The sequence below is a fragment of the Homo sapiens genome, chromosome 14 (genome assembly GCF_000001405.40).
Source record: "Homo sapiens chromosome 14, GRCh38.p14 Primary Assembly".
Lineage (NCBI taxonomy): Eukaryota > Metazoa > Chordata > Mammalia > Primates > Hominidae > Homo > Homo sapiens.
Genome location: NC_000014.9, coordinates 77,190,898 through 77,215,615, shown reverse-complemented (window position 1 = coordinate 77,215,615; position 24,718 = coordinate 77,190,898). Strand labels below are relative to the sequence as shown.

Here is a 24,718-nt window from a genome sequence, read left to right as displayed (position 1 = left end):
TTTTTTTTTTTTTTTGAGACAGAGTCTCACTCTGTCGCTTAGGCTGGAGTGCAGTGGCACCATCTTGGCTAACTGCAACCTCTGCCTCCAGGGTTCAAGCAATTCTGCTACCTCAGCCTCCTGAGTAGCTCGGACTACAGGTGCCCACCACTACACTTGGCTAAATTTTGTATTTTTAGTAGAAATGGGGTTTCACCATGTTGGCCAGGCTGGTCTCAAACTCCTGACCTCAGGTGACCCACCCACCTCGGCCTCCCAAAGTGCTGGGATTACAGGTGCGAGCCCCCATGCCCAGCCTTGCTTCAGGTTTCTCAGTAAAAGAAGGAATGAGGTCTCAGCCCAGTGTGAGGTGGTGGTGGTGGGCGGATGTTGGATGTTTGGTGACAGGAAAAAAAGGTAGAAATAGAAGTCTAGGGGAATAAGAGAGGATGGATTACGGAAATGGAGCAGGATTGCCAGGCAACAATGGGGCCTGTGGAGGCTCATGATCTTGAATTGACGAGAGCAGCCAGACTTGCTGTGCTGGATTCACCTGTATGGTTGCAGGTGTGGAAGACTTAGTAGGGGTAGAGGCTTCCCCCCAGCAAGTATGAGCATAACACAAGAGGGTTGAGGGTGTAGCAGGTGAATAATTGTAATGATTTGCTGTGGAATTTGAGCCAGGAGAGAAATAAGATGCAAGATGGGTGAGGACCAGGGAAAGCTACTGGAGTTCCAAGGGGAGGTAGAAGAATTGTGGACGGCTAGTAAGTGTAGAGCAGAGGGAGTGGCATGCTGAAAGTGGGATGTTTGGTGCTGAAATGAAAGAGATTCCGGCTATCGGTGGTGATCGGGTCTAGGACATGACCGTGGGAGCGAGCGGCTGAGTATCAGAAGGATCATCTTTGTGGAGATGTGGACATTGACATCAGCAAGAATGAAGACAGGAAAAAAACTGGGGAGACAGTGAGGGGGGAAGGGGAGAGTGGCCTGGGGGACTCCTTGATGACTAACAACGATGGGCAGCAAGATGTCTAGGTTGACACCTGTGGGTCCAAGACAGGGGGCTCTAGAAAGCAGGGAGGAAGAGTCTCAATGTTGCCAAGGGGAACAAGAAAGACACGTCTCCATCCCCAGGCCAGTGGTGTTGGAGGGGAAGCAGGAACCACCCTCTGAGAGGGTGGAAAGGGAAGCTGGACTGGGGAGTCTCCCAGTCGGAGGGTGAGGAGACCGAGGAGCTGGGGATGCTTCTGGGGATTACAGGTTCCGTGCCACTGAATCTCAGCTCCAACGCTCACTCATCGCTCATCGGGTGACCTTGAGCAAGGCACTTACAGTCCCCATGCCTCACTTTACTCCTCTGTAAAGTGGAAATGGCAACAGCCATTAGTACCCACTTCACAGGGCTCTTAAGAGGAGTGTTAGGATGTGTTCATCTTGTAGAACAATGCCTGGAACACAAGGAGCATCACATAAATATTTGCAAAATGAAGAATGGAGATCCAGGGGGCACCATGGAAAGGTTTCAGGAGTTGGGGAGGGCTGAGAGATGGGGATGGAGAAGGAATGAAGGTAAAGGGATTGAAGCAGGGGACAGGAGGTGGCCTGGGAGTCTGGGCTGCTTGTGCTCACTCCCAGAACCTGCGATGGAGGGCCTGAGAGTAGTCCTGGAAACAGAAGGGGTGCACAAAACTCCTCCCACTCCCACCCTCTAGATTAGCATCTAGCAGGATCCGGGAGTCTCTTGCCTGTCTTTCTCAGTTCCCCTAATTCCTGCTCCATCGAGCTCTGCCTAGGCCACCCATAGTTTTCTTGTTTCTACCCCAGGTGGCTAATTAACTCACTAGCACGTTTAGCCAGATGCAAACTCATAATAGTTTACATCGAACACAGTACACTTCAACGGCATGCCTTCTGCCAGAGCATCAGAGTAGCAGCCAATGGCATTTCTAGGGTCTCTTGGAGGAAGGAGCTGGCATCTGAGCTACCTCGGGCTCCAGGTCAGCTAAGGCAGGAGGCTGCAGTTCTGCTGGTGGTCATTGGGAGGAGCCCGCGCGAAGGAAGCGGGCGGGGGAAGGTGTAGGAAGGCGATCCTGCAGGTGGAGAGGCCCGGGGAGACTTTTCCCACCTGAGTCACTTCTCCAGTGAAGGTCCACGTCAGGCCCGGAGGCTCCACCCAGCTACGGGGCTGCTGCAAAAGAACACACGCGGTGGAGAGACCACAAGACTTACAGACCCAGGAACTCCCTTGCTGGCAGCACCCTCCTTCAGGGCCCCTTTGGTCATCTTTATGCTCAAATGCACGTCCTTTATCAGAGCTCTGCTTTGCAAATAGTTTCCCCCTGGCCTATTGCTTTTCTTTTAATTGTCTTGATGGTGTCTTTTGAAGTGTAAAAGTTTTGAATTTTGACAAAGTGACCTCCAAGCTGAGATGTGAAAGGGGTGTAGGAGTTAGTCCTGTGCAATGGGCAAGCGTGGGCAGAGGCACCCGTGTTGGCAAAGACCTAGAGGGAAGGCTGAATATAACGTTTTGAGGAAATGAAAATGAATGGCAGTGGCTACAGTGTAGAATAGACCACTATTGGTTCATTCATTCATTCATTCAACAAGAATTCATTGAGTATCTATTTCCCCTGGAAGTACAAACATGAGGTCCTCTCTAGGGAGTTCACATCCCAGCCTTTGGGGTTAGGGAGAGGACTGCTGTTGGGCGGCTTGGACCAGGTGGCCCTTCTGCCTGGGAGGACCCCTAGTTACAAGGCCCCAGCCACTAAGCTTGGAGTTGGGCAGGAGGTGGGGAATTCCATCCAGCAGGTTGGTCAGGTGCAGGCTTTCAGCTCAACCTGGCTGCTCAACCTGCAGGGCAGTGAGGGAGGAAAAGAAAGGAGACAAGATCCTCACCCTCTCCCACCTCACCACCCTCCTCAGCTTTCCCAGGCAGCAAGCAGAGGCAGTAATGAGGGAGGCTGTTGCCATGGAAACCTAAAGCAGCACCAAGCCTTTTCTCTGCATCCCTTCACCCTCCCTGGACCATACTTCTTTCTGGAGGGAGAGCTAGCTCTTGGGTGTGAAGAAGACAGGCAGAAAATCCAGATTTTGGCTTACTGGAGACTAAAGCACCAGCACTGGAAAGAATGAAGCTAGAAACTCTAGGATGTCAACAGAAAACACAGCAGGGCCACCAGCCCAGCAGGGCGTAGCGGGGGCATCAAAGAACTCATCTGTTTAGACATCACTTTCACAGTATAGGACAAAGGCTGTCTGGGGCAATGGGAAGGATCAGGCTCTCTGAAGCCACTGACTGGACTTAATCCCAGACCCACCTTTGCTAGCTGTGTGACCAGGGGCAGTGACTTCATCTGTCTCAGCCTCAGTTCCCATATCTGGAAAATGGGTATAATAACAGTATTGCCTCACAGGGTTATTGCAAAGGGGAAGTAAGATAATTCACATAAATCCATTTGCACAGTGCTTGAGAAATATGACTGCTTAATTCGCCAGCGCTGCCATCCTCCTCCTCCTCAGCTTATTTGTAAGGCTGTGGTGAGGGGCCCAGACTGCACAGTCCCTACACTCCTCCTTCCAGCCTCTCTGTTCTGGGGCAGGCAAGAGGAGAGATGTGAGGATGGAAAGGTCCATCCACTATCCCACAGACTGCAGCTGGTAGGTGGTGGTTGTTTCTGTCCTTCCTGTGCATAAAAAATAAATGTCAGCCTTGCTTTGTGGGCCAAGGAGGGGCAGTGGGAGATGATGTGAATTCTGGTTGGTGAGTCAGGGTTTCAGGGCCCCTCCTAGCTGCATATCTTATCTGATGGGAGAGTGTGTGGCCCTCTTCCTGTCCCATTTCTCCTCCATCCTGGGTTCCTATGCCAAAAGCTGGCAGCTCAGCTGTTCTAGGCTTGGGCAAAGTTGTCTTTGGCAACTGGGCAAAGGCTTCAAAAAGGGCTAGCTTTGCCTTTCTGTCTGCCCCATCCTACTGCTCACTCCCAGGCCTCCAGACCTAGCCTGGTTTTATCCACTGCTGCCCTAACTAACAAGGCCAGCACTTTGCTTCCCACTTCCCCTTCCAGATGAGTTAGACATCTCAAGGCCAAAGCCAAATCTCAGGGATGACCCCAGAGTTAGGATGGTCCAGGAGGGCCCAGGGAGGGACAAATTTTATTAATAGCTAACGTTTACAGAGCAAGTAATATGAGCTAAATATTTTCTATTTAAGTACTAGCTCATTTAATTCTCATAAGTACCCTAGGGTATGAGAACCATCCCTAAATGCAAGAGAAAATTAAGGCCTAGAGAGGTTAAACAACTGGCTCAAGGTCATGGCCCAGAGAAGTTAACTGGCCCGAGGTCACGGTGCTAGTGAATGGCAGAGCTGGCCCTGAAGCCAGACCATTTGTAACCCTCTGCTTTGCTGGCCCCTGAGCCTCTGCTGCTCTGGACATGCTGAGCAGGGGGCAGAGGAAGGGGATGACCTTGCTCAAACTTTAGTCCAGGGACAGCAGCTTCCCTAGCCTTTAGGGTGATGCAGCGGAGAGCAGAGTGGGCTGAGCCAGGAACCCAGGCTGGATCTGCAGCCACTACGCCTGCATTTCCCAGCACAGCCCAGGGCCCAGTCTGCTCCACCATCCCCATGAGTTCTCAGGAACTGGTCCATAGGACATGTGTTTTGGTTTGGATTAGAGAATCACTATAGCCACAAGCCATGCCCTAGGAAAAGGTGCTATGGCTGGGGAGCCACCCCCACCTTCTCTCCAACCCCATGACCCCCAGAGTGCACAAAGCCACAGCTCCCACCCTGCCCCCTTGCCATTTAGCCTTCTCAGTAGCTTCAATAATTAATCATCTTTTTGTTAACAACAGGTAAGATTATCTCCCATGGTTCTGGACTTAAACAAACAAGCTGGGATTCCTGGTCATGGGCATCCACTCCCACCTCCCCTTCTTCCTTCTTCTCCAGGTCTCCTGCCCTGCCCCCACCACCCCTTGCCCCTTCTCACGGAGGGACCCCCTCTCAGTGAGGTTTACTCTCATGGCTAGGGGGCTGGTTACTATTGGAGGAAGTGTGGGGAGAGGAAGGGTGTGTCACTGGAATGAAGGGCTCTGGTTCACGTCCTTCACCACTGACATGTCTGCTGGCCATAAATCTTTCCCTAAATATCAGTAAGCCCTTCCCTGCCCCATACCATCCTCAAACTCCTCAACTCTTCACAACAAAGAGTGGTTTGCTCAGCTTTACATATGGAGAAACTGAGTCTCCAGCAGACATGGAGATTTGCTTAAGGCTGGGGAAAGTGGTGGATTGGGGATAGAACTGGGGGTTTTTGGCTCCCCACTCAGTGCTTTCAGTGACTCCTTAGCCTGGGAGGGGGTCACTGGAATCACCTAGACAGTGTTTAGTACATCTAGATACTCATGTTCCACCCCAGACATTAAGCATGAGAATCTCCAATTATTGTGTGCAGCCAAGACATAAAAGCACCAGACTGAGATTTCCAGGGTTATTTGCACCTAGAGAAGGAGTTCTTGATGATCCAAAAAGTTTTGTCACTCCTCCTAAATAAGGAGAGAGGGTGGAGAGATTTGGGGATAAAGGATGATACCTCAGTGCCTCTTAAACCATGTCACAGTGTGGCAGTTCGTGAGGCTGGTCCTTATATTCTCCTCCCATGCAATCTCTGCCCCCACCCCCAGCTGGTCCCGAATCTGTGGAGAGTTGGCTGAAGATCTACAGAGGCCCACACCACCTCTTCACTGGAAGTTCCAGGCTCTGGTATTCCTCCCATTACCCTAGAGGCCACTGGCCTGGCTACTTCCTCATGGTACCCTCTGTTCTGCCCCACTAGCCCCCTTATTCAGAGTTGCTTGCCCCACCCCTACACAGCTTGAGCCACTTCCTCCTGGACTTGGGTGAGCCTTGGTCTCATCAGCATTTAAAGCCCCTGAGTCCAGCTTATATTGTACTCCTCTGAACCCTCTTTCAGATTACCAGCCCTGTCTGAACCTTGTTCCCACCCTCTTTACACAGCTGGCCTTGCAACCACTGCCTGGGACCATCCTCTCATTTTCCCATGCACGTGAGCAGCCAGCTTACCAACAAATCCATGGGCTCTTTGATAGTAGGGACCATATCTTTCTCTTATACTTTTCATGGTTCTCCCAAAGACCATCACGTAGTAGGCCTCAATGAGAGACAGAAGGCCCTTTACCCAGAGACACACTCAAGGGTAGGAAAGAATAAAATGTAGGTGGTTTGTACACATTTGCACAGTGCACAGAGTACATGAATCCCAAATTTTTGCCCCCACATAGCGCACATTGGCTACCAAGTTTCCCTCCAGCAGTCGCTGCAGGGAGTGGAGGGAGCATACAGCTGCAGGTAAGGAGACTGGGTGTGAATCTGGCTCTATTGTTTATCAGCTGCTAGTTAACCTCTTGCTATTCAGTTTTTTCTTAAAGATCATATCTGTCCTGCCTATACCAGGGTGATTATGAGTGTTAGTTAAAGGGCATAGTGCATGGAGACTCTTTCTGTAAACTGTGCCACAAACTAAGTTGTTGCTTTTGCTGTCCTCTTCATAGGATCGAAGCCAGCCTTCCCCGAGAGGTCCCCAAACGTCCCTCCGCTGCAGTCACTCCTGAAGCCTCAGCATGGGGTGAGAGGATTGCAGTTCCACCTTCCATTGGGCCCACGATGCAAGCAGAGCAATGATCCCGCTGCCCCTGGCTGGGTCCAGCTGGGCTCTCAGCACCATGGACAGCACCATGCTGGGCAAAGGCATTTCTGCTTCTGCTGCTCTCTGCCAGGGCTCGTGGGCAGGGCCAGGCAATTCTCGCTGCTGCCCCAGCCCAAGAATAAGAATAACAGCTAACACTTATTGAGTGAGTTCTATATGCCAGGCCCTGTGCCAAGTCTCTTCAGGTGTCGACTGGGTTAAACCTATCAGGTTGCATATGGGACACGGTTGATACCCTCAGCATCCATTCCCACCTCTGTGCCTTCCTATATTGCAGAAGCTGGAAAGTTAAAAGGTACATTTCCAACACTCCCTTGCAGCTGGGGTTCTGGATACAGATTAGAGCTCTTCAATTAGACATGCTGGAGATAGATTTACAAGGCTGAAGGGAGGAGAGGGAGGAGGAGGCGATCTCCCTGGTGCTCAGGCCGTGTTCTGCTGACAAGCCATGCCGAGGACAGGAAGGGATTCTCTGCAGGAAGTTCAATGCCCAGTCTCTGGCTCCCAGGGAGGGGGTGGTGTGAGAGGCAATTGTGGCAAAAGCTGCAGCAGTTTTCTCATCCCTAGATAGCAGGTGAAAGGACGTGAACTCTGTGGCTCCAGTAATGGCCCTCCTGACTGGGTGAGGAGTAATTTGTCTGGAGGGACAGTTCTGCTCTGTTCTGAAGACCCAGCTTCTAATTCTTCCAGTGATTTCGAGACCCTGCGATTCCCTGTATGAATCAAGCTGACTACAGCATCATGTCCCAGTCCTGGTTTTGCTTAAGATTCCTAGAGTGTTTTTTGTTTCCTGTACAAAGACCAGGCAGGTTCTATTATTATCCCATCTTATGAATGAGGAATTTCAGGCCCAGAGAGGTTAAAAGACTTGCCCAGATCAGGGAGTTAGTACCGTGAAGTTAGGGCCTGAGCTGGGGGGCTGGTTCCACAGCCCCCTCCTGATCACTTTGCTATGTGCCACCCTCGAGGCAGAGAACGCTGATTCCAACAAGCAGGAATGAAGCTGCTAGGCTCAAGACAGAAGTACACTGAAAAAAGGAAAGGCTGATAGAGAATACTGGAACCACACTCCAGGCTCCTATGGGTGTAGCCCCTGAGGGGGCCTCAGGAGAAGAAAGGGGCAGGAAAGGACATGGGCATTTGTGATGGGCCAGGCCTTCTTATGGCTATCCCACTGAACATCGTTTATTCCTCACAAGCAACATGAGAGGTAGCAGCCTAAGAAGTAAGAGTCAGTATCCCCATCTTACACGTACAGAAACTGAGGCTCAGAGAGGTTAAGTAACTGGCCTAAAGTTACACAGCTGGAGAGAGACAAAGGCAGGATTAGAATCTAAGTGTCTGCCTCCACTACATCACGCAGCCTCCGAAGGCACAAGCCTTTGAAGGAACAGAGCAGCTTTGCCCAATTCCAGGAGGACTGTATTTCTGGGGTACAGGAGGATGGCCTCCCACATCTGTACTACATCTAAGGGACTCTCAGCTAAAGAGAAGGACCAGGCAGCTTCTATTTTTATCCCATCTTATGAATGAGGAATTTCAGGCCCAGAGAGGTTAAGAAACTTATCCTCTTAACACCTCTGTGGGTGGCAGATGGAGTTGGGACGCCATCAGGGGAGAAGGTGGCCACTTGGACTCAGGCTGGAAGCTGAGTGTGTTGGCTTCCCCACCCCATCCATCTCACCTCTGGGACCCCCACAGAGATGCCTCTCCTTGCCAGGAAGTTTCTTTTCCTTGTCCTCCAGACCCTGGACCCCAACCCATGGCTTTCTGCCTATGCCCCTGAGTAAGTGAGCAGCCATGATGGTGCCCAGGGGGTGCTGGAGACAGAAGGCAGAGGCAGCTGTGGGGCTGTCACAGTCACCCAGGCCCCTGGGAGCTGGGCAGTGACTCAGGGAGACACGGGGAGGAGGACAGGTGACTTCATGCCTGTGTTAAAAAGGTAAAATAGGAAATAAAAACAGCAGGATACAATGCTGTTAAATGAAATGATCTGGATTCTAAAAAAAAATAAAAGAAAAAAACTAAAATTATATCACATTCTTTTAACAGTCCTTAACATTTTTTTCTGAGTTTGAAAAACTATTTAATATGAACATGTATTGTTGCTTCTAATTAGAAAAAGATCATATATTAAAAGGAAGGCTTGAGATTGACAGATATCCATGTAATCAAGCTTTCCTCCTGCATCAAATCCCTCTTCCCTTCCTCAAATGCCCTCATTCTGATCAGCTCCCACTCAGACTTGTTGATGGGGAGGAGAGGGTGGAGGGACTGAGCTCTCACAGTGACATGCAGCCCAGTGGTTCCTGTGCAGGCTGCCTACTCAGAAAGAAGAATCAAAGCCTGAATCCAATGCCATCTCCTCTCTCTCCCCTGTCAGGGCCTGGCTGGGCCATGGGCAGGCAGATCAAGAAGCCAAGGTGGTGCATCATCGAAGCCAAAGTGGCCACCAGGTCCCTGGGCGTCTGCCTGAAAGCCAGAGGCAAGCCTCCCTCCCTGCTCCACCCCAGGTCAGTGGCTCCTCCTGACAGCAGTGGTACTGTGCTGACTACAGCATCAAGTCCCAGGGGCAGAGATCAGGAAGAGGACTTGGAGGCCTCCCTGGCACAGCTCTCACTAGGGCAGGCAGGGGCAGCCTCCCCAGCCCCCTGCCCTGCCCCTCCCACCTCCCCACCCCCTCAATGGATCAGTGGAAGATGGTAGCTACTGAGGCCCCTCTAGTCATTTTTTGGGGTGGTCTAAACCTAGACTCCTATAGGGAAGAGAACAAAAGAGAAATGGTAGCCTCCAGGAGGTAGGGGGCGGGGTCCTGAATGGGCCTGGCCTCTGGATTACCTCTGAGCCTGACGGAGGGCCTATGTGCACTCTCCTCCAGGTGACAAAGTATGTTTACAAAGTCATCTCACCTGGCCCCCAACAGTCCTGCCAGAGAAGAGGTGGCAACTGTCCCCATTTACAAATGAGGATGCTGAGGCCCAGAGTGGGTGTGTAGCCTGCCCAGGGTCATACAGCTAGCAGCTGAACAGCAGGGGTGGAGATCTAAAGCCAAGGCCCGAGCTTCTGCACAGCTCCCTGCTCCTTTTGACATCTGAGCTCTCTGCTCCTGGCCTGCTCCTGGGCAGAGGCTGGGACCAGGGGAGGCCCTCTTGGCCCCAGGAGCCCCTCCAGTCTCACCTCCCCCAGCTCCCCACGAGGAATCTCAGCTCCAGCCGATGGAAGGCCCCTTGCCCATCAAAGGCCTTGGTTGTCTCTGCCCCCTCCATTCCTCCCCTCTGTGGAGGACCTTGATCCTCCCCCAACGGGAATGCTCCATTGGCAAGGCCCAGTTCAACTCTGCTTTCTTCAGGGAGCCTTCTGGGTACACCCCCTGGTCTTGCTGATCTCACCCTCCCTTCCATCCTACTGTTCTCACTTATTCTTTCCTGAGTTCTCTACTGGATAGGGGTTGCTAAAGAGGATGAGATGTGTTCCTCCCCTCCTCAAGCTCATTCTAGGTGAATGAGAAAGGCCTTGGCTGAAAGGCAGTGATAACGCAGTGTGAGAAGGGCTCACAGATGAACCGAACCCAATCTGCAGTGCCTGGGGAGGCCTCCTGGACCAGGCTGTGATGGAATCAGCTAGAAGGGCTTTCTTCGCTCTCCTTAACTTGGCCAGCAAGGCCTGGGTGTGGGGCCCTGCCTAGTGTTCTGGCTTCATCATGTCAAACTTCCCCCTCACTTCCATCTCCAGCCTCCTAGGTTGTTCCCTCAGTTCCTGGAGCATGCCACCTTCCCTCCTGCCACAGGGCCTTTGCATATGCCAGTCCCACCACCTGGAAGGTTCTCTCTCCCATTACTTGATTCATTCTCCCCCTGGTTAATCTCAGCTCCATTTTTGCTTCCTTAGGGAAGAGCTCAGGCCAGGCCCAGCTCCCCAAGTCCTGTGCCTCTGAGCATCTTGGGAGGCAGGCATCATGTATGCAGCAAATGTGGATTTCTAGTACTAGACTCTCTGGGCCCAAGTTCTGCCTCTGCTACTTACTAGCCCCATGTCTTTGGGCAAGCTTCTTAACCTCCCTATGCCTCAGTTTCCTTGTCTGTAAAATGGAGATGTTAATAGCACCTACTTATTGGGTAGATGTGAGGTTTAATAGAGCCAACTCACATGAAACATTAGAGCAGTGCCTAGCACATTGCAATGGCTCAATAAAGTTAAGTATAATTTTCCTTGTTGTACCTAGTACATTCGATGTTGTTTACGGGATGACGTAGCAGACGGCTGACTCCCCACACCTCCCCGCAAAGGGAAGCTCCTTGACAACAGAGCCCTTGGCTGTGTTTGCTGATTATTTCCTCTGCTGTGCTGGATAGGGTTGAGTGCTTTACAAATATTTGCAGAAGAAAGGAAAGATTGGCAGTGGGTTGGGGTAGGACTCATTTGGCCCCCGTGATGAGAGTGTTTTGGCTGGAGGAGATCTTACAAATCATCTAACTTAAGCCCTCCTTCCACAGAGGGACAAAGGGAGCTGCTGGTGAGCATTTCCCTGGGTTTCCAGTCTCAGGGGGCTGAGCAGCCCTTGCCCACCTCTGTCTCCCCCTAGGGCTTTGCTCAAAGCCTATCATGGCAAAATCTCAGACTGAGGCATCTGTTTCTGTTTTGATTTAAAAAAAAAATGTGGCGCATCTCATATTTGAGTGTTGTGGAGCAAATACATTCACCACAACTGGGTGAAGCTGAGGGATCCAGTTTGACCCTGAGTTATTGCTGCAATTCTTGTCTCCGTGGTAACAAGTCCCCACTAAGTCTTCAGCCAGCAAGGCTGGGCAATGGCTCAGCTCAGCTCCTGTTTTGCAGGGCCCCTGGGCTAAGATGCCGGCAGGCAGCCAGCATGGTTCTCCCTCCAGCCTCTCCCCTGACTGCTTCCTCTGCAGGAGTCTGGAGGGGGCAGGAAGGAGGAGAAGGAGGTGAAGCAGCCATAGGGATATAGCAGCAGAGGCTCTGACCCCAGAGTCAGCTCCAGCTAGAGCCGGGTTGGAGGCTGCCAATGGGGAGGTGCCTACCAGCAGGAGCAGCCTACTGGGGCCATCACACCCCACCTCCTGCTGCTGCCAGGGTGGGCTCTGATCAACCAAAGCTCTGCAGCCAGTCACACTCAGATCCAACCAGCTGTTGACAATTTATTACTGTCTAGATAGAGCCACCCTGCACTGAACACCTGCTCTGGGCCAGCCCCGAGCTAGGTGCTGAAGAGGCAGGGATCCATTACATATGGCCTGTCCTCAGCAAGCACACAGTCAGGTGGAGGAGATCCAAGTGGTGTGAAAGTAGCCAGAATAAAGAACAATGGGTGCATGGCCAGGCAGGAAAAGCAAGATGCAGACGGCACATGGAGAATGCTGCCTCCTGTGTGTCTCCATTTCCTCTAGAAGGATGCACAAGAAACTGTTGCCAGTGCTTGTCTTCTGGGTAGGGAACTAGGTGGCGAGGAAGACTTACCTTTCACTCTGTTCTCTTTATTGTTTTTTTTTTTTTTTTTTTCAAGATGGAGTTTCGCTCTTTTGCCCAGGCTGGAGTGAAGTGGCAGGATCTTGGCTCACTGCAATCTCCACCCCCCGGGTTCAAGTGATTCTCCTGCCTCAGCCTCCTGATTAGCTGGGACTACAGGCGCCCACCACCATGCCCGGCCGGCTAATTTTTGTATTTTTAGTAGAGACAGGGTTTCACTATGTTGGCCGGGCTGGTCTCTAACTCCTGACCTCAGGTGATTCACCCACCTCGGCCTCCCAAAGTGCTGGGATTACAGGGATAAGCCACCACGCCCAGCGTCTTTATTGCTTTTTGAATTTTGTACTATATGCATACCTAACCGTTTTGAACAAAACAAAACAACAAAACCAAACTGAAAAGCAGCATCACTGGGTAAGTGTTGTAATAAGGATGTGGGCTTCTCAGTGCTGGACACCCAGAGAGGAGGAGTGGATAGCTCTGACACTTAGGGACTCTCTCTCCTCTCAGGAGCTCAGTTCCATGTGCCAGGTAGAGGGGTGTGTGTGCGTGTGTGTGTGTGTGTGTGTGTGTGTGTGTGTGTGTGTGTGCGCCTGCCTGTCTGCCTCTGTAGCTATGTGTTTGGGATGTGCAGCGCTACTGGGTTGAACAGTATCCTCCCAAAATGCATGTCCACGTGGAAGCATGGAATGTGACCTTGTTTGGAAATAGAGTCTTTGCAGATGTAATTTGTTAAAATGAGGTCATACATGATGAGGGTGGCCCCTGAATCCAACGACTGGTGTCCTTAGATGAAGGCCATGAGAAGACAAAGGGAGAGACTGGAATGAGACAGCTGCAAGTCAAGGAATGCCAAGAACTGCTGACAACCCCCAGGAACTAGGAAGAGGCAAGTAAGGATGCTCCCCTAGGTCCTGCAGAGGGAGCACGGCCCTGCTGACACCTTGATTTCAGACTTCTGGCCTCCAGGACTGGAAGAGAATAACTTTCTGTTGTTCAGAACCACACAGTTTGTGGTAATTTGTTGCAGGGCCCTGGGAAGCCAATACAGTGGGTCTATGCATTGGTGCTTGTGTGTTTTGAGGTGTGTCTGTCAATGTGTTTGTGTGTGTGTGTGTGTGTGTGTATCTGAGTATGTTTTGAGGGGTATTTGGTTGTGCTTAGGAATGTGTTTGTGATTATAGTTTGGGTTTTAGATGCTTGTGTTTTGGGTTGCATGCATATTTATGTGTTCATATGTGTGCATGTTGAGTTGTATACACTTGTGTGTTTTGGCGCTTGTGTGAATTTATGTGTTTTTAGCCAATGATCTCCAGGGTCTCCCTTAGTTGTGTCATTCCAGAAGTCTGCCCTGGGGCCCCTGCTGCAGGGAGCACCTAGAAGGGATGCTGGGCAATGGCAGTGGGGATGGAATGGACTCAAGAGCAGGTGGGAGCAGCGTCCTGTCTGGTCTAGGGCCACCTGGGAGAGGGCAGGGGCATCTCAAGTGTCCCCATCACACCTGCCCTGTCAGTGCAATGATCTCAGCCTCAGGAGTGGGGGTCCAGTAGGAGCCATGTCCTGGGGGCCCAGCCCCAGGGCCTTCTTGGAAGCCTTCAGCAGAGAAGAAACCGCCCCCGCTACTCCCAGAGACACTCTACTTCCTCTCCTCTTTGGTGTTAGTTTATGGGAAAGTGAACGCACACCCTTGAAACATTACAGCAATGGGTCTCACACTTTGGTGGGTCACAATCAGCAGCAGGGCTTGTTACATCACAGATCGCTGGGCCCTGCCCCAGGGTTTCTGCCACAACAGGTCTTGGGTAGCGCCTGAGAATCTCTGTCTCCAACAAGTCCCTGAAGGATGCTGATGCCGCTGGGCCAGGGACCTCACACTGAGAATCACTATCCTAGACCATAGAACAGGAGAGGGAGGCTCCTCTTTCAGCTCCCTCATCTGACCCCCAGACTTTGGTGTGGGCAGCCTCGTGTTTTCAGGATAGGCCCTGGAAAAGGCAGCCTCAAGCTGATTCTTTCCGTCTCACTGTCTCTCCCACCTGTCATTCACAAAATAATTTATTCAGCAAATTACAGTCCAGACTCTGTTCCCTGAACTCAAGGTGCCTACAGGCAAGACACAAGGCTCTAGTGGGTACACAGACCCCTAAGAAGACCATAACAAGACCGCATAGCTGCACTCTGGAGCTCTGTTCAAGGAGTACTGGGAGCACAGAGGAGGAGCTCCTGCCTCAGTCCTGGAGAATCCACAAAGGCTGCCTGGAGGAGGTGCCAGCCAAGGCAACTCTTAGAAGATGGATAGCTTCTCTTTTGCTGTGGGTGTGGCCACAAAACGTTTCCCACTTGGTTTTCTATCTGCTACCTTGCTCTTAGCCAGCCTATTGGGAACATTTTATGAACACTTTATTAAACTGTTACCAAAAAAAAAAAAAAAAAAAAGACAAACAGCACTAGATCACTTTAACTGAGCACTTATTACCTGCCAGCTGCTGTGCTAAGACTCTGGAAGCACGAGAGCACCTGTGTCCTCACATCACCACCAAGAGGGGAACTATTGTCCTTGAGTGAGATTTGAGCCTAGCCAGTTGGCCTCAAGGCATCACATTTCTAGCCTGAGGACACATGGGCCTCCTACCATGTGGAGGACAGGGCAGAACATTCCGGGAGGAGACCTGGGCATGCATAAAAGCCGAGAGGCAGATGGGGAGCGGGGGCAGGACAAGATGTGAGCCTAGTTCAGGTCCCCTGGATGGAAATGCACCACCCCTCAGGGGCAGCAGAGCCAGGATGGGGGCCAGGTTGAAGCCTATTTCTGGGCTCTGGCGCCATCTGTCTAAATAGGGCCAGAGCCACGTTGGCTGCCTCGTGTGCTCTCTGAGCACAGCTGGTCCAGTGATGGGTGGGAGGCAGATGGCAGAGGCTGTGGGTCTGGCTCACAGGGCCTCACAGGGCCTGGGGGGCATGAGGGACCTGAGAATCCCTGCTACCATAGTGGGAGCTCTCTATTCACAGGTTTGCTTGTGATGAAGGTTAGCCCTGCAGGGAGGCTGTGCCGAGGGGCTGAGGGGTGGTGGCTGGCACAACCTCCATGACTCGTGGTGGATCCACATCTTAGCTCCCTGGCAGTCTCCATGTGGCTCTGGGGATCATCAGAGCCTCCTCAACTAGAGCACAAACTCCAGGGCAGGAGCCAGCCTCCTCTGAACTTGCTCCTGCCCCTTGGGTAGGGGATCAGGAAAGCCACACTGATCCAGGCTGAATGAGGACTTGAATGGAGACCTGAAGCCAGATGATGGAAAAAGAGAAAGTGAACTACAGCTGCAGCAAGAGGTATTTCAGTTAGACACAAGGAGGCACTGGCCTGGGAGACTGAAGGGAGTACTAGCTATTTCTGGGGGAAGAGAGGGATCCCTCCTTCTGTCTGCGACAATCTGCTTCTCTGGAAAAAGGATGGTGGGGATTTCTCTCTCCTCGTCCTTCACCGGCTCCTCTCTCATCTCTCACCTACATTTTAGTTTCCCCTCCTTTCTTGCCCGCCTCCACTTCTGCCTTCGTTGTCTGAGTGGGCCCGGCTCATCACAGTGTCGCTGGGAGCCTTTGAGCAGGGACACAATTCAGCCAGTGTTCGATGAGTCCCACACCTGCTGGAGGTGAAGGAGTCCAGGCCCTGCCCGGAGCACTTCCAGCCAGGTGGAGACACAAGACAGGAAAACCGGTGCCTACACCCAAGGCAGAGTAAGAGCCGCACACTGAGAAGGGAACAAGCCAAGCTGTGGGGCTCAGAGACCACAGCCCGGGGGGTCAAGGAAGGCCTCGGAGAGGTGGCATTTGGAGACTGGGCGAGATTTCCATACTGACAGAAACCAGTGGGAACAAGGATAGTCCAGGCAGAGGGACAAATGAGAGGAAGAGGGAAACAGAGAGTGGACTGTTCTGGAAATGGCAGGCAGACTAGCTTGGCTGAAGAGGTGGGATGAGAAGGGTCTGGTGAGATAACAGGCAAGTTGGGACCAGATCATGAGGCCCTGAATCTCGGCTGAATGATTTGCACTTGACTGTGTAGGCAGTGCGGAGCTATTGAAGGTCTTGGAGGAAGGGCATGGCATTATCTGGGCTGGGACTAGAAGAGCTTCTAGATTTTGCTCCTATCCTAGAATCTCATGAAAGGCATTTGGCCTTGATTCTGAGCCCCCGGGCCTCTCAGGAATCCCCAAGGGGAGCAAACAATCTGTGTGTCTCAAATGTTGCCTTTCCAGTGAGGTCTGTCCTGACCATTCTTCTTAATAACGCAGCTCCTCCGGCACCCCTGATTGCCCTCCCTTTCTTTCTCTGTGTTTTTTATTTCCCCCATTGCATTTATCTCCTTCTAACATACATCATCCATAATATGCTGTTCATTATCTGCCCCATTTGAATGAAAGCCCCCTGAGAGCAGGGTCATGTTTGTTTTACTTGCTGCTGCCTAGTCCAGTGTCTGGAATCTCAACAGATTCATTCATTCTTCAAGTGGATAAAGAGAAAAATACCACCTTGCGGGAACCAGCATGCTCTGGTTTGCCCCCTCCCTGTCCCTTTACTGCTGGCTTCCTGGGCTTGGCAGCACCGAGCCTCCAAGTGGAAAAATCTCTGAGAAAACCAAGCAGAGCTGCGCTGCTTCCCTCCTGCACTTCCCATCCTTGCCAGGAAACATTTGAACTGTTTCCTGCTCCTGCCAAAAACCACCACTATTTTCCTGTATCTCAGAGCGGAGGCCAGGCGAGGACAATTTCCCCACCTAAGGAAAGCTAGAAGTTTGCAGGACTGAAACAGCTCCACTTGGCAGCCTGGAGAACAACTTTGATGGTCTGATCAGAATCGCGGCAAATTCCCAAGTGCCCTCTCCATGCGTGCAGTGGCTCTGGGCATTTTGCTCCATTTTGCCCTCACCCTGACTCTACGAAGCAGGTGTTATCCTCCGCATTTCACAGACGGGAAAATACAGAAGTTCATTGATGTGGCCAAGGTCTCTCCACCAGATAAGGAGGCTGGTCTCAAATGCTGTTCTGTCCTGCCCCAGCCCAGGGCTTGTTCCTCCACAGTGTGTGGCCTCTCTTCCGCCAGAGGGGCTGAGATGCAGGATGGAGCTAGCTGAGTTCTCTGTCCCAAGATGCCAGATCATGGGTAGTCTCTGCTGGCCTCAGGCTTCCCACCTGAGCCATGGGAGCCAAGGTTTTGGCCACAGCCCCATGATGAATGAGGACCATGACGTCACGTCTGCTGCCTGGCCTGAACTCATCAGAGTACACATTATAACTGCGGTCACTGCCTGTCTGGGCAATGGCCAAGTGTCCTCTCTTGACTCTGATGTGGACCAAGGCTGGAGCTCAAAATAGGGCTCACTGCATTTGCAGGCCCAGTGGATCCAAGGGAAACCAACCCTAGCCTTGTGTGCGGATGCAGGGCCCCAGATCCAGGTCCGCTCCTGGCCAGGCTATGGCTGGGGAGGCAGAAGAGCTTGGATCAAACCCCCAGATGTGGGCTGTAGGTGACTGCACTTCCATTCCTTAGGGACTCAGTTCACCCACTCTGAGAGCGGAAACCCTCTCCCAACAAACATTACTGATTCCTTACTACATGCAAGGCAAATGATATTCTTCTCTGCCTTCAAGCCCTTAAAGTGAAGTTAGGGCACAGTCATTAACTAGACAATGGGGAGTCATGGTTGGTTGTAGAGCCAGGGAATTGGATGACTGCACTGTGTCTTAGGGAGGTTGATCAGGCAGCAGACTATGGCTGGGAGAGAACAGACTTTTGCAGTGATCGGATCTAATGTGTTAAGCACTTACTGGGTGCTAGATGTTGTTTCAAGTACTTTACAGATATTACCGTAGTTAATCTTCACCCTAGGGTACTATTGTTAACCCCATTTTACAGATGAAGAGACAGAAGTTCATAGAGATAACAAGGCCAGTAGGTGGTTGAGCTGGGTTGTGAACCCATCTGGCTCCACTGCTGCCTCTTCTAATAATCTTGAACAAGAGTCTGGCGTAGGGCTGGGGCCCTGGGAATGGCCAGAGGAACAGAAGTGAAACACTGCCTGTGGCTAAGGCTCCCTGCCCTGGAGGGCTCTCCCAAGAAAGGACCAGGAAATTATAAAGGGGACATAAAGAACCATATCTAAGATTATTTTTATCAGTAACAGCAACAATCACGATGCTCTTGGCCAACACCCCATGCAGGATAGTATCTTCTTTCATGTAAGAGAGATTTGAGACACTCTCAAATAGAGAAATCTTAACACAGTTAGAGCTTCCTCTGGAAAGCTTCCTGGACTCTCTAATCCTTCCTCAAAGATTTATTTATTAATGTATTTACTTACTTAAATAGGGAAGAAAGCCTCACTTAGATGCTAACCTAGCTTCAATACCTTCTAGCTTGGGATGTCCAGTCACTGTCAATGTTCCTTTTGCAAAGTGGGGAGGAGTTGCTGGAGGTAACTGGGAAGGTGGAAGGAGAGGAAGAGGAGCGTGGGGCACAGGCTGGGCTGAGGGGCAAGGGGAGGCCACTGAGCCCAGGAAGGGCTGTCTGAAGCCAAAGGGCTTCCCGCGCTGTTTTGACAAGATTACACCTGATTCCTCTGAGATGTTCAACCACAACATTGGAAACTACACTATTGATACAAGTAATACTTGAGAAGTAAAAAGAGATTGCGGTTGGATTCTGCCTCTAAGATCCCTAGCTCTAGCAGTCTATGAAGATACCATCTGTCTTAATCCTTTCCTAGAGGATAAAGTGTCAAGAGTTAGGGAACTCTTGGAAGAGCCACATCTGGCCGGATTCTAGGCTTGCCCCAAACCAGAGTCAGCTGGGCAAAGAACCACCAGGAGGCCCAGCTAGCAGCTCAGCCCCGGGGGAATTTCCAGGGGACAGAGGACATCCTAACCAAAACCAGAGCATCTTCTGCCCCTTCCCAGGCCTCATGGGCAGGGTCACCTGGGACAGCGCCCTTCAGAATGGGGTTAGGCCGTTCTGCCCCTTTCCTGGCAGGTTGTGGGTTTGGGAGGGCTTAGGGAGGGTCTTTGCCCAAGTGCTGGCTAGAGAGCTGCAGGCCATGGGCGGCCAGGATGGCCACATTTCCCAGGCTCAAAGTGGGGAGCTGGCACTAGGGCTTAGCCCTGATGGGTGATGGGATGATGCCGGGGCACCTACCTGGAACAGCAGCTGAGGTTTGGGGCTCAGGCCCCACGTGGCCTCTGGGCTGTAATAGGACCTTCCCTCCTCTTGATCAGTCCCCAGGAAACGGTCCTTCTGAGTGGCCCAGCGGTGTCCCCGCTCGATTCCTGACCCCGAGGGAGGCTCCTCCAAGGCTCTATAGCACAGGGACAACAGAACCCTCTCAGTGCAGGCGGGCATGCATCCCAGTCCTCCCTGGCCTCCTTGCAGCTCCTTCCCAAGCCCAGGCTGGCCAAGCCCCTCCCAACTCCAACGTGCTTGTCAGTATCTACCACAAGGCCTGCCTTGGGGAGCTGTGATGGGGTGAGGGGTACTCCGGAAGCATCCATGACCCCCAGCCTGCCCCAGCTCCAAATCCAGGCCAGCCAGTGCCCACCCCTGAGGTAGGTGAGCTGGGAGCTACCATTCAACCCAGCTGAGCAGCAGCTGTGGGGAGCGGGCCATGGAGACAGCACGGCACTGGGAGTCCAGGCACCAGCTCTGTCACTTCCCCTGCTGAGCTGGAGCACCCCACCTTCCCTTGCTGCTGTGGGGGTGTTCAGCCTAGATGCACAGACAATGCCAGCAGGGTTGAGCTGGGGGAGGTCAAAGGGGTCATACACATCACCCACTTCAGAATCATCTGCAGGAGGAGGGGAGGGTTTGCTAAAATGCAGGTGGAAGGGCGCTACCTTGACCCACTGAACTTGAATCTCCAGGAGGGTGTTTGGGAACCTGCATTTTAACAAGTTCCCCACATGGGTGCCCATGAAGTAAGACTCAGTAGATGACACACTGGGAAAGGGCAGAAAAGTCCAAGGATGATTTTATAATCCACATAAAGGGATCATCGGTCCCTTTCCTGAAAGCAGCATCACAGGAGCCCAGTCTCTGCAGCCAGCTAGCCAGGGAGCCCCGGCAGCTTGCTCAATCCTCTCTAGCTCTCATTTTCCTCATGGATAAAATAAAGATTGGCGGTGAACTCTTGGGCCCGCCCACATCTGAAATTGTGAATGCAAGGAGAGGTGAACCCACTGAGAAACGAATTTAAAAACAAAGTTCAGGGTGAGGCATTTTAACTGGTATTCTCCCCTTTATAATTTGTTTCTTCTTAAATATTCTTGTTTGTTTTGTTTTTTTGAGATGGGGTCTCACTATGTTGCCAAGACTGGTCTCCAATGCCTGGGCTCAATTGATCCTCTCGCCTCCGCCTCCTAGATAGTTAAGATTACAGGCACATGCAACCATGCCCAGCTTTAAATATGCTCTTTAAATTCTGAAAATAACATGCTTAGGGGGAAAAAAATCAAACCATTCAAAATAATACACAATGAAAACGAAATCCACGCTAGGCATGGTGGCTCACACCTGTAATCCTAGCACTTTGGGAGGCCGAGGTGGGAGGTTCACTTGAGCCCACAAGTTAGAGACCAGCTTCGGCAACATGGCAAAAACCCGGTTCCACAAAAAGTACAAAAAAAAAAAAATTAGCTGGATGTGGTGGTGTCCGCCTGTAGTCCCAGCTACTCGGGAAGCTGAGGTGGGAGAATTACTTAAACCCAGCAGGTTGAGGCTTCAGTGAGTCATGATAGTGCCACTGCGCTCCAGCGTGTGTGACAGAGCAAGACCCTGTCTCCAAAAAAAGGAAGAAAGAAAGACAGAAAGAAAGAAAGAGAAAGAAAGAAAGAAAGAAAGAAAGAAAGAAAGAAAGAAAGAAAGAAAGAAAGAAAGAAAAAAGAAATATGGCATGGATGTCCCTGCCATCTCAGATCTATGCCCCACTCTCCAACATAAGTATCATTTCCTAAATTTTCCTCGAGAATTTTTTTCAGAAATATGAACATACACACACACACACACACACACACACACACACACACACACACACACATATATATATATCTATGCCTGCATCTTTATTTTAAACCCAACCAGGAACATATTCCCAGTACTTATATTTGCTTTGCTAATTAACATACATCACACATCTCTGCATACCAGCACAGACAGATCCCTCCATTCTTTTCATAGCTCATAGTGTTCCACTGAACCGATGCACTACACTTTCTGTGAATCTGTCCTTGTTGATTGATATTTAGGTTATTTCTACATTTTTTGCTGCACAAGCAAAGCTGTAATCAACATCTTTGTTTTTTCTTGTTTGTTTGTTTTGAGACAGCATCATACTCTGTAATGAATATCTTTGTTTTTTCTTGTTTATTTGTTTTGAGACAGCGTCATACTCTGTTGCCCAGGCTGGAGTGCAGTGGTACGATCCCAGCTCACAGTAGCCTCAACTTCCTGGGCTCAAGTGATCTTTCCACCTCCATCTCTCAAGTAGCTGGAACCACGGGTGCCCACTACCATGCCCGGCTAATTTTTTTTTTTTTTTTGAGACGGAGTTTCGCTCTTGTTGCTCAGGCTGGAGTGCAGTGGCGCAATCTCTGCTTACTGCAACTTCTGCCTCCCGGGTTCAAGCCATTCTCCTGCCTCAGCCTCCCGAGTAGCTGGGATTACAGGCATGCGTCACCACACCCGGCTAATTTTGTATTTTTAACAGAGACGGGGTTTCTCCATGTTGGTCAGGCTGCTCTCAAACTCCCAACCTCAGGTGATCCGCCCGCCTCGACCTCCCAAAGTGCTGGGATTACAGGCGTGAGCCACCTCACCAGGCCTAAATTTTTTTTTAATTTTTGTAGAGATGAAGTCTCACTTTGTTGCCTAGGCTGGTCTCAAACTCCTGGGCTCAGGTGATGCGCCTGCCTTAGCCTCCCAAAGTGCTGGGATTACAACCATGAGCCACCGTGCCCAGCCTACATCTTTGACTTTATATCTTTGTGCACATATATGAGGCCAGCTAGAGGATATCCCTGGGTCAAAACTTATGTGAACCTAACATTTTGCCAAATTGTCCTCCAATGAGGGTGAACCAGTTTGCTCTGCCCCAGCAACTCATACCCTCACAAGTGTGCATTATCAGATTGTTGGATTTTTACAGTGAGTTTAAAAATGGTATCTTGTTTCAATTTGTAATTCGGTTGTCAAAAAAGACAGACGTATTTTCATGTTTATTGACTGAATGGCCTTTGCACTTATTTTTCTGTGACTTGTCTGTGTCCATCCTTTCTAATTTCTTATTGATTTTTAAAGAAGTTTTTCTAAATTAAGGCAACTTACTTCTTGTCATGTGTATTGCAAATTGTCATTCATCTCTTTTTGAGTTTATTTATGGCATCCTTTGGACTTGCTTAAAAAGCCTTTCCCATTTGAGAATCATGAAAGTATTTGCCCATATTTTCAACTTGTATTCTTAAAGGTTTCTTCCTCCTTTTCTTCTTCTCCTTCCTCCTGTTGTTGTTGTTCTTCTTCTCCTTCCTCCTCCTCCTCTTCTTCTTCTTCCTCTTCTTCTTTTTCTTCTTCCTCTTCCTCCTCCTCCTCCTTCGTCTTTGTCTTATTCTTTCTTGAAGCAGGGTCTCACTCTGTTGCCCAGGCTGGAGTACTTATGTGACACAATCATAGCTCACTGCAGCCTTGAACTCCTGGGCTCAAGTGACTCTCCTGCCTCAGCCTCCCGAGTAGCTGCAACTACAGGCACGCACCACCACCCCTGGCTTTCTTCTTTCTTTTTAAAATATCTTTGCCCCCTCTAGAATTTATTTTGATGTAGGGATTGTGGTAGGGCCCAACTTTATTATTTTTTTCAAAGGGCTACACAGTTGTCCTAAAGTCATGTTTGAATAATCCATTTCCTGCTCCCCTACCCAACAATCCTCCCTCTAAATTCAAAATTCCGATTTGACTATGTAGGAGGATGGATACAAAGAGCATAAACTCAGAGTGAAGTGCTTGGTTCAAATTTCCACTCTACTGGACCTAGGATAAGTTGCCTACCCTTTCTGTGCCTCAGGTTCCTCATCTAAAAATGGAGGTAACAGTAACGCCATCTGCATGGAGTTATTGTGAGGATTAAATGAGTTATTACAGGTAAAGGGTGTAGAAAGATGCAACTAATCTATGCTACCCACAAGAGGCTGAACCTTAGATGTAAAGGCTCACATAGGTGGAAAGTGAAAGGATGGAAAAAGTCATTCCATGCAAATGGTAACCAAAAGAGAGCAAGGATGGCCGTATTTATATCAGTCAAAAGCTGCCACAAAAGACAAAGGAGGCTATTACATAATGATAAAGAGTTAATTCACCAGGAAGATATAACAACTATAAATACATATGCACCTAACAGCAGAGCACCCAAATATATGAAGAAATATTGACAAAACTGAAGGGAGAAATAGACCACACCACAATAATAATTGGAGATTTCAGTACTCCTTTCAATAATGGATAGAACAACCAGACAGAATATCACTAAGAAAATGGAGAACTAGGCCAGGCTTGGTGGCTCATGCCTGTAATCCCGGCACTTTGGGAGGCCGAGGCAGGCGGATCACCTGAGGTCGGGAGTTCGAGACCAGCCTGACCAACATGGAGAAATCCCATCTCTACTAAAAATGCAAAATTAGCCAGGCTTGGTGGCGCATGCCTGTGATCCCAGCTACTTGGGAGGCTGAGGCAGGAGAAATGCTTGAATCTAGGAGGTGGAGGTTGTGGTGAGCCGAGATTGCACCATTGCACTCCAGCCTGGGCAATAAGAGCGAAACTCTGTCTCAAAAAAAAAAAAAAAAAAAAAAAGAAAAAGAAAAAAGAAAAGAAAGAAAAGAAAAAAAAAATGGAGAACTTGAGCAACACTATAGACCAATTGTACCTAATAGACATATGCAAAAACTCCTCCAAACAGCAGCAGAATATACATTATCTCAAGCACATACGGAACATTCTCCAGGATAGCTCACACCTTAGGCTACAGGTAAAGAATAGGACAGTGGCCACACAGAGGAACTACTATATGGTGGTGTTTACTACTATTATTATTGCATATTAGGTGTGCTTTGTTTATCAGTCTGTGAAGCCGTTCCATCATTTGACAAATATCTACTACTATGTGTCAGGCCCTATTCCAAGTGCCAGGGAATCAAGAATGAAGTAGTCTTAAGAGCTGCTCCTGCCACCTCTGGTTAGACTTAGTACTGGTTATTTTAGCCCTTTTACTGATATTTTCAATTTCTTCCATTATATTTAAAAGGTTAAAGTCTGTTTATATACAAACAAGCTATATATTTTTGCTTCTAATAGTTATTACCAATCATGTTGGTATATTCTTTTATTATTTCTAATTTTTTTTCAGTTGACAATCTTGTTCTTTTTTCTCCAGGTTGGCAATCTTACCGTCTACAATTTTGATAAATTTAGCACTTTTATAACTTACATTTCCA

At 50.1% G+C, this 24,718-nt stretch overlaps 1 protein-coding gene across 1 annotated transcript in view, besides 2 other annotated features; it reads right to left on the bottom strand.

Moving 5' to 3' along the window:
* Positions 1–24,718, bottom strand: part of TMEM63C (transmembrane protein 63C) — a 77,698-nt gene that overhangs the window by 43,880 nt on the left and 9,100 nt on the right. Inside the window, exon 2 of the mRNA NM_020431.4 lies at positions 2,108–2,170. The gene's annotated coding sequence lies outside the window, so the exon portion shown is untranslated. The remainder of the gene's footprint in view (positions 1–2,107; positions 2,171–24,718) is intronic.
* Positions 2,071–2,300: an enhancer, noted in NCBI's record as "active region_8797". NCBI's record gives its function as "activates an Ori minimal core promoter by ATAC-STARR-seq in GM12878 lymphoblastoid cells {active_cell/tissue: GM12878}" and the evidence as "EXISTENCE:reporter gene assay evidence [ECO:0000049][PMID:35858748]".
* Positions 15,077–15,591: an enhancer, noted in NCBI's record as "H3K27ac-H3K4me1 hESC enhancer chr14:77666368-77666882 (GRCh37/hg19 assembly coordinates)". NCBI's record gives its function as "activates a minimal SCP1, AML or CMV promoter by ChIP-STARR-seq in primed H9 embryonic stem cells {active_cell/tissue: H9 hESC(primed)}" and the evidence as "EXISTENCE:reporter gene assay evidence [ECO:0000049][PMID:30033119]".